At 44.6% G+C, this 9,690-nt stretch overlaps 2 annotated features.

Moving 5' to 3' along the window:
• Nucleotides 342–1,285: an enhancer, noted in NCBI's record as "H3K27ac-H3K4me1 hESC enhancer chr6:36544382-36545325 (GRCh37/hg19 assembly coordinates)". NCBI's record gives its function as "activates a minimal SCP1, AML or CMV promoter by ChIP-STARR-seq in primed H9 embryonic stem cells {active_cell/tissue: H9 hESC(primed)}" and the evidence as "EXISTENCE:reporter gene assay evidence [ECO:0000049][PMID:30033119]".
• Nucleotides 5,932–6,132: a silencer, noted in NCBI's record as "peak5784 fragment used in MPRA reporter construct". NCBI's record gives its function as "represses an SCP1 promoter by STARR-seq MPRAs in K562 erythroleukemia cells {active_cell/tissue: K562}" and the evidence as "EXISTENCE:reporter gene assay evidence [ECO:0000049][PMID:32103011]".

The raw sequence follows: 9,690 nt of genomic DNA, 5'->3' as shown, positions 1-9,690 counted from the left end.
GTTTGAGACCAGCTTGGCCAATGTGGTGAAACCCCGTCTCTACTGAAAATACAAAAAAAAAAAAAGCCGAGTTGGTGGCATGCACCTGTAGTCCCAACTACTTGGGAAGCTGAGGCAGGAGAATCACTTGAACCCAGGAGGAGGAGGTTGCAGTGAGCCGAGATCGCGCCACTGCACTCTAGCCTGGGCAACAGAGGGAGACTCCATCTCAGAAAGAAAGAAAAAAAAAAGAATACCGTTGCCAGGTCACACTAGTTAGAATTCCAGTCTGGTTTGTGTCCACACCCAGGGAAGTTATTCAAAATATTTAACCACAGTTCAGCCTGGATCCTAACTAATCAAAACAGTCATCAGAGGGTGGCAAGAGAAGAGACTGGGTGCCGGGGGTGGGTGGAAGATAAGCACTGGCTTGAGGTCTCAGAGCAGCTGCTGTCTACCAATGAACACACAACTATTTAAATATTTTAATAATTGCTACCTCTGTTCCAGAGCCTTCCCATCACCCTGTCCACCCTTTAGCTTCTTCTTCTTTTTTTTTTTTTTTTTCCCATGGACAGCCTTCTGAGCCAGGGCAGGCTCAGAAACTCCCTCCCACTTAGATTCTGAGTCCCTTGCTGACTCCACCATCTAGTCCCTCTCTCAGATTCCTTGCTTTTCTGCCACTTGCTAATTTTTTTTTTTTTTTTAGAGATGGAGTCTTGCTCTGTCGCCCAAGCTGGAGTGTAGTGGCACGATCTCAGCTCACTGCAAACTCCGCCTCCTGGGTTCTACCAATTCTTCTGCCTCAGCCTCCCGAGTAGCCAGGATTACAGGCGGACTCCACCACACCCGGCTAATTTTTTGTATTTTAGTAGAGACGGGGTTTCACCGTGTTGCCCAGGCTGGTTTTGAATTCCTAAGCTCAGGCAATCCACCCGCCTCGGCCTCCCAAAGTGCTAGGATTACAGGCATCAGCCACCGCGCCCAGCCACTACTTTCTACCTCTATTTTTGCTTGGAAAAGAGCCCAGGAGGTCTAATTAATTCTAATTTCTGAAAGAAAAACAGAAATCAATGAACAGGGCTTTCATGAGAAAGGCCTGTTGGGTAACAGTGTTCAGTTTCTGCCTTATACCAGCAGGTGCTGGAAAGGGGAACACAACAGCCTGTGAGACACAGGACTGTAGAGGCCTTGCCGAGATGAGGGAGTTCACGGCAGGGAGGTGAGACGTTTCTCACTAGCCTCTGACCATGTTACTAGGAAGCAGGTGTCCAGTAACAGGCATGCAGCTACAAATCTTCAAAATACCTTGGCAACTGAGAGCTTTTATTTTATTTATTATTATTATTATTATTATTTGAGACAGAGTCTTGCAGTGTCGCCCAGGCTGGAGCATAGTGGCAGGATCTTGGCTCACTGCAACCTCCGCCTCCTGGGTTCAAGCAATTCTCGTGTCTCAGCCTCCCGAGTAGCTGGGATTACAGGCGTGTACCACTACACCCGGCTAATTTTTGTATTTTTAGTAGAGACGAGGTTTCACCGTGTTGGCCAGGCTAGTCTTGAGCTCCTGATCTCAAGTGATCCTGCCTTGGTCTCCCAAAGGGCTGGGATTACAGATGTGAGCCACCGCACCCAACCGAGAGCTTTTATTTTAGAAGCAAATTCTTATCAGGATTCTTGGTTGTTGGCTGGGATTAAAACCTTGAGAAACTCCTTTTTTATTTTTATTTTTCGAGGAGTCTTGCTCTGTCACCCAGGCTGGAGTGTGGTGGTGCAATCTTGGCTCACTGCAACCTCCGCCTCACCGGTTCAAGCAATTCTCCTGCCTCAGTCTCCCTAGTAGCTGGGATTACAGGTGCGTGCCACTACTCCTGGCTAATTTTCGTATTTTTACTAGAGATGGGGTTTCACCATATTGGCCAGGCTGGTCTCAAACTCCTGACCTCGTGATCTGCCTGTCTTGGCCTCCCAAAGTGCTGGGATTACAGGCGTGAGCCACCATGCCTGGCCGAGCAACTTCTTTAAACTCTTTTGAGTCTCATTGTCATATATTTTGTATGCAAAAGGAGAAAACAAGAATGACCTAAAGCTGGGCTGATGCCTGTAATCTCAACACTTTGGGAGGCCAAGGCAGGTAAATTGCTTGAGCTCAGGAGTTAAGACCAACCTGGGCAATGTGGTGAAATCGCGTCTCTACAAATAAGACAAAAATTAGCTGGGTGTGCTGGTCTCAGTGAGAGGATTGTTTGAGCCCAGGAGGTCAAGGCTACAGTGAGCCAAGATTGTGCCATTGCACTGCAGCCTTTGTGACAGAGCGAGACTCTGTCTTAAAAAAGAATAAAAATAAAAAAATAAAAATTAAGGGCCACACACAGTGGCTCATGCCTGTAATCCCAGCACTTTGGGAGGCCGAGGCGGGTGAATCACTTGAGGCCGGGAGTTCGAGACCATCCTGGCCAACATGGCAAAACCCCATCTCTACTAAAAATACAAAAAATTAGCTGGACATGGTGGGGCACGCCTGTAATCCCAGCTACTTGGGTGGCTGAGGCATGAGAATTGCCTGAACCCAGGAGGTCGAGGTTACAGTGAACCAAGATCACACACCACTGTATTCCAGCCTGGGTAACAGAGCAAGATTGTCTCAAAAAAAAAAAAAAAAAAAGAGAGAGGGAGAAAAAGAATGACCCACCTGAATCAAAAAGGTGTGTGAAGATTAAAACAACTCTTTATTTTGAAAACTGGTAATTAGAAAAGAAAGAATTAGACATTTTACCTTCCTTTACAGTGGGAAATATATTTAGGGTAACTATATCATGTCAGTGGATAAGATAAGGCTCTATTTTATCAAAGAATGCCAGGTAATCAATATAGAAATAATGTTAGAAATATAATATCAGCATTTTGTAAGCTTTTTGCAAGCATTTTGCAAACCTTCAAGCAAGGATTGTCCATAGGTTTTTAAATCATGAGGTGACCTACCTATTAGGTCAAATTAAAATTTGAAAGCCTGACCATACTAAGTGTTGGTGAGGATATGGATGAAATGAAACCCTCAAGCATTGCTGGTATAAATGTAAAATGGTACAGCCACATTGGGAAACAGTTTGGCAATTTCTTAAAAAGTTAAACATACACTTACTTTGTGACCCAGGCATTCTACTTCTTGATATTTGCTCAAGAGAAATTAAAGCATATGTCCACACAAAGACTTGTACATGAATGTTCATAGCAGCTTTACTTGTAATAGCCAAAAAAAAAAAAAAAAAAAAAGGGAATCAACTCAAATATCTTTTAGTAGGTAAATGGATAATATGGCATATTTGGGATGCTACTTAGCAATAAAAGGAATGAACTACTATTATATGCAACAACATTGATTAATCTTAAAATATGCTGAGTGAAAGAAGTCAGACAAAAAAAGTGCATGATTCCATTTACATAAAACTCTAGAAATGCAAACTAATATATAGTGACAGGAAACAGATTAGTGGCTATTTGAGGATGTGGAGTGGGAGGAACAGAAGCAAGGAATTGTTATTATTATTTATTTATTTATTTATTTTTTGAGGTAGAGTTTCACTCTTGTTGCCCAGGCTGGAGTGCAATGGCACAATCTTGGCACACTGCAACCTCCGCCTCCTGGGTTCAAGTGATTCCCCTGCCTCAACCTCCCAAGTAGCTGGGATTACAGGCGCCTGCCACCACACCTGGCTACTTTTTGTATTTTTAGTAGAGACGGGGTTTCACCATCTTGGCCAGACTCAGCTGAAGCAAAGAATTATTAAGGGGCAAGAGAAAACTATTGGGGGAGATGGAATACACACACACACACACACACACACACACACACACAGAGTCATGCATTGCTTAAGGACGGAGGTACATTCTGAGAAATGCATTGTCAGATGATTTCCTCATTGTGGGAACATCATAGAATGCACTTACACAGGCCGGGCGTGGTGGCTTACACCTGTAATTCCACTACTTTGGGAGGCCAAGGCGGGCAGATTATCTGAGATCAGGAGTTTGAGACCAGCCTGGCCAATATGGCGAAACCCCGTCTCTACTAAAAATACAAAAATTAGCCAGGTATGGTGGCGAGTGCCTGTAATTCCAGCTACCCAGGAGGCTGAGGCAGGGGAATCGCTGGAACCTGGGGGACAGAGGCTGCAGTGAGCTGAGATTGTGCCACTGCACTCAGCCTGGGCGACAGAGCAAGACTCTGTCTCAAAAAAAAAAAAAAAAAAAAGAATGTACTTACACAAACCTAGATGGTATAGCCTATCACATACCTAGACTATATGGTATAGCCTATTCCTCCTAGGCTACAAACCTATGCAGCATGTTACTTACTGAATACTACAGGAAATTTTAACACAATGGTATTTGTGTATCTAGACATATTTTAACACAGGAGAGGTACACAAAAACACAGTAAAAAAGATTTTAAAATTGCACACTTCTGTAGGGCATGTGTCAGGAACGGGGCTTGCAGGACTGGAAGTTGCTCTGGGTGAGTCAATGAGTGAGTGTGAAGACCTAGGACACTACTGCAGACTTTATAAACACTGTACACTTAGGCTACACTAGATTTATTTATTTATTTTTCTTTCTTCAGTAATAAGTTAACCTTACCTTACTATAACTTTTTTTTTTTTTTTTTTTACTTTTTATACCTTTTTTTTTTCTTTTTTTAAGAGACAGGGTCTTACTCTGTTGCCCAGGCTGGAAAGCAGTGGCGCAATCATAGCTCACTGCAGCCTCGAACCCTTGGGGTCAAGGGATCCTCCCACCTCAGCTTCCTGAGTAGCTGGGACTACAGCATGTACCAACAGGCCAAGCTAATTTTTTTTTGTTTTGTTTTTGTAGAGATGGGGTCTCCCTGTGTTGCCCAGGCTGGTCTCAAACTCCTAGACTCAAGCCATTCTCCTGCCTCGGTCTCTCAAAGTGCTGGAATTACAGGAATGAGCCATAGCGCCAGGCATGCTACTTTTATAAGTAGGTTTGTTTACACCAGCATCACACAAACACATGAGTAAGGCATTGTGCTACAACATTGCAATGACCATGACATCACTAGGTGATAGGAATTTTTCAACTCCTTTATAACCTCATGGGAGAAACCACCATCTTTTTTTTTTTTTTTTGAGATGGACCTTTGCTCTTTTGCTCAGGCTTAAGTGAAGTGGCATGATCTCAGCTCACTGCAACCTCCCCCTCCCAGGTTCAAATGATTCTCCTGCCTCAGCCTCTGAAGTAGCTGGGATTATAGGTGCCTGCTATCATGCCCGGCTAATTTTTGCATTTTTAGTAGAGACGGGGTTTCGCCATATTGGCCAGGCTGGTCTTGAACTCCTGACCTCAGGTGACCCACCGGCCTCGGCCTCCCAAAGGGCTGGGATTACAGGCATGAGCCACCACGCCCAACCATCTTTTGTGTGTTTGTGTGTGTGTGTGGTTTTTTTTTTTTTTTTTGAGACAGAGTCTCACTGTGTCACCTAGGCTACAGTGCAGTGGTGCAATCTCGGCTCACTCCAACCTCCGCCTCCTGGATTCAAGTGATTCTCCTGCCTCAACCTCTGGAGTAGCTGGGATTACAGGTATGTGCCACCATGCCCGTCTAATTTTTTTGTATTTTTAGTGGAGATGGAGTTTCACCATGTTGGCCAGGCTGGTCTTGAATTCCTGACCTCAGGTAAATCATCCGCCTCGGCCTCCCAAAGTGCTGGGATCACAGGCGTGGGCCATCACACCCGTCCAGACCACCATCTTATATGTGGCCTGTCTTTGACTGAAATGTTGTCACGCAGTGCATGCCTGTATGTCAAAACTTATCAAATTGTACCTGTGATCGTCCTTTTGAAGTGTCAATTTAGCTAGGCTATAGTGCCAGTTATTCAGCCAAATTAATCTAGGTGTTGCTGTGACAGTCTTTTGTAGCTGTAAATTCCATAATCAGTCGACTTTCAGTAAGAAAGATTATCCAATTGTCTGAGTGGGTCTGATTCAATTAGTTGAAAGGCTTCAAAAACAGAGTTGAAAGCCATTTGTGGTGACTCATGCCTATAACCCCATCACTTTGGGAGGCTGAGGCTAGTGGATCACTTGAGCTCAGAAGTTTGAGACCAGTCTGGGCAACATGGTGAAGCCCCATTTCTACAAAAAATACAAAAATTAGCCAGGCATGATGGCACACACCTGTAGTCCCAGCTACTCAGGAAGTTGAGGTGGGAGGATTGCTTGAGCCCAGGAGGTCAAGGCTGCAGTGAGCTGTGATTGTGCTACTGCATTCCAGCCAGGGCAACAGTGAGACCCTGTCTCAAAAAAAAAAAAAAAGGAAGAGTCAGAGAGATGCAACATTGCTGACTTTTAAGATGGAGGAAGGGGCCATGAGCCAAGGAATGTGGGCAACCTCTAAGAGCAAGAAAAAGCAAGAAATACATTCTGCCTCAGAGCCTCAGCATAGAAATGCAGCCCTGCTGACACCTTGATTTGAACCCAATAAGATCCGTGTTGAACTTCTAATCCTATAGAACTGTAAGATAATAAATTTGTACTGTTTTAAACCACTGTTTGTGATAATTTGTTACATCAGCAATATAAAATTATGAATACAGTACCCTTTTAAAATGTGCCATTCTTTATATGTCAGTTATTATTATTATTATAGTATTATTTTTAAGACAGGGTCTTGCTGTCACCCAGGCTGGAGTGCAGTGGCACGATCACAGCTTATTGCAGCCTCAAACTCCTGGGCTCAGGCGATCCTCCCTCAGCCTCCTGAGTAGCTGGGACTACAGCCATGCACCATCACACCTGGCTAATTTAGAGATGGGGGTCTCGGCCGGGCGCAGTGGCTCACACCTGTAATCCCAGCACTTTGGGAGGCTGAGGCGGGTGGATCACCTGAGGTCGCGAGTTCGAGACTAGCCTGACCAACATGGAGAAACCCTGTCTGTACTTAAAATACAAAATTAGCCGGGCGTGGTGGCGGGTGCCTGTAATCCCAGCTACTCGGGAGGCTGAGGCAGGAGAATCACTTGAACCTGGGAGGCAGAGGTTGTGGTGAGCCGAGATTGCGCCATTGCACTCCAGCCTGGGCAACAAGAGCAAAACTCCATCTCAAAAAAAAAAAAAAGAGAGAGATGGGGGTCTCACTATGTTACCCAGGCTGGTGTGTGTCAATTATACTACAATAAAGCTGCTAAAAATTAAATGAAGCTGGGCAATGATACATGCCTGTGGTTCTAGTTACTCAGGAGGATCACTTGAGCCTGGGAGTTCAAGTCAAGCCTGGGCAATAAAGCGAGAACTGGTCTGTCAAAAAAAATAAAATAAAACAAAATAAAATAAATGAATGGTTAATAGAGAACTAGACATACAAACAGTGCCAGTTAATACCACATTGTTTCACTTCTACTTTCAAATTGAGGGTGAAGTGGATGCAACTGTATAGTGGGAAACACACTATTGTTCCCCTAAGTGCAGTTCAATTGTAGCATCAGTAATGGCTCTAGACCAAGTTTATGCAACCTGCCCAGAATGGCTTTGAATGCGACCCAAACTTGAAAACTTTCTTAAAACATTATGAGATATTTTTGTGTGTGATTTTTATTTTAGCTCATCAGCTATCATTAGGGTATTTTTTGTGTGGCCCAAGACAATTCTTCTAATTCCAGTGTGGCCCAGGGAAGCCAAAAGTTTGGACACCCCTGCGAGTCTAGACATTAGGTATCTTCTGATGATATATATGAATAGACAACACCACTGAGACTACAGTCTAGCCATAATGTTTAAATTGAATCTCTTTTACCTTTAGATATAACCTTTAATTTTCTTTTTTTTTTTTTTTTTGAGACGGAGTCTCGCTCTCTCGCCCAGGCTGGAGTGCAGTGGCACCATCTCGGCTCACTGCAACCTCCATCTCTCAGGTTCAAGAAATTCTCTGCCTTAGCCTCCTGAGTAGCTGGGATTACAGGCACCTGCCACCATGCCCGGCTAATTTTTTTTGTATTTTTAGTAGAGACGGGGTTTCACCATCTTGGCCAGGCTGGTCTTGAACTCCTGACCTTGTGATCTGCCCACCTCGGCCTCCCAAAGTGCTGGGATTACAGGCGTGAGCCATCACGCATGGCCCATAACGTTTAATTTTCAGTAAACATAGGGTATAAAATAAATATTTGTCACAAGTAAGCAGACAGACAAATCCAGAAGGTGAAACATTATTTTGCAGGGCAGCTGGCCTGGTCTTTTGGAAAGTCAATATCATGACAAAAGGATTGGAAGAGACTAAAGGCCATGACAATCAGATCAACGAGTAGTCCTGCATCAATACTGGTTTCAGGTCGGGCGCAGTAGCTCATGCCTGTAATTCTGGCACTTTAGGAGGCTGAGGTGAACGGATCACCTGAGGTCAGGAGTTCCAGACCAGCCTGGCCGACATGGTGAAACCTTGTCTCTACTAAAGATACCAAAATTAGCTGGGCATGGTGGCGCAAGCCTGTAGCCCCAGCTACTCGGGAGGCTGAGGCAGGAGACTTGCTTGAACCCGGGCGGCGATGGTTGCAGTGAGCCAAGATTGTGCCACTGCACTCCAGCCTGGGCAACAGAGAGACTCCGTCTCAACAACAACAACAAAAACTGATTTCAACAGATTTGATCTAAAGGACATTTTGGGGCCGGGCACGGTGGCTCACGCCTGTAATCCCCCCAACTTTGGGAGGCCAAGGCGGGCTGATCACAAGATCAGGAGATCGAGATCATCCTGGCTAACGTGGTGAGATGCCGTCTCTACTAAAAAAGAAAAAAAAATAGCCTGGTGTGGTGGCGGGCGCCTGTAGTCCCAGCTACTCAGGAGGCTGAGGCAGGAGAATGGCGTGAACCTGGGAGGCAGAGCTTGCAGTGAGCCAACATTGCGCTACTGCACTCCAACCAGCCTGAGCGACAGAGCGAGACTCCGTCTCAAACAACAAAACAAAACAAAACAAAACAAAACAAAAAACAAACAAAATACTACTACTACTACTAATAAAGGACATTTTGGGGGAAATTTGAATATGGTATAGATATTACACAAAGTGAAAGTTTACAAGAGTGAAAAGAGAGAGTTTGTTGACCAAAAAAGAAAGGTTACAAAATAGTACAAAGCTTATGATTTTATTTGGGTTAAAAAAATGTGCACTGAAAAAGGTCCAGGCCAGGAGTGGTGGCTCATATCTGTAATCCCCACACTTTGGGAGGCTGAGGTAGGTGGATCACTTGAAGTTAGGAGTTCGAGACCAGCCTGGCCAATATTGGTGAAACCCCGTCTCTACCAAAAAATACAAAAATTAGCCGGGTGTGGTGGCAGGCACCTGTAATCCTAGAAACTCGGGAGGCTGAGGTAGGAGAATCACTTGAACCTCGGGAGGCAGAGGTTGCAATCAGCTGAGATCATGCCACTGCACTCCAGCCTGGTGACAGAGTGAGATTGCATCTCAAAAGAAAGAAAAGAGGTCCAGAGTGACATATGCTAAGCTGTTAGCAGTGGAATCTTTGGTAATGTGACAATGATATTTTCTTATTTTTGCCTGCTTGGTTTTTTCTAACTTTTTATCCTGAACATGCATGATTTTATAATAATAAAACATTATTTTGGCCAGGCACAGTGGCTCACGCCTGTAATCCCAGCACTTTGGGAGTCCGAGGTGGGGTGGATCACCTGAGCTG

This window comes from Homo sapiens, chromosome 6 (assembly GCF_000001405.40).
Source record: "Homo sapiens chromosome 6, GRCh38.p14 Primary Assembly".
Classification (NCBI taxonomy): Eukaryota; Metazoa; Chordata; class Mammalia; order Primates; family Hominidae; genus Homo; species Homo sapiens.
This window is presented reverse-complemented; position numbering and strand designations above follow the sequence as displayed.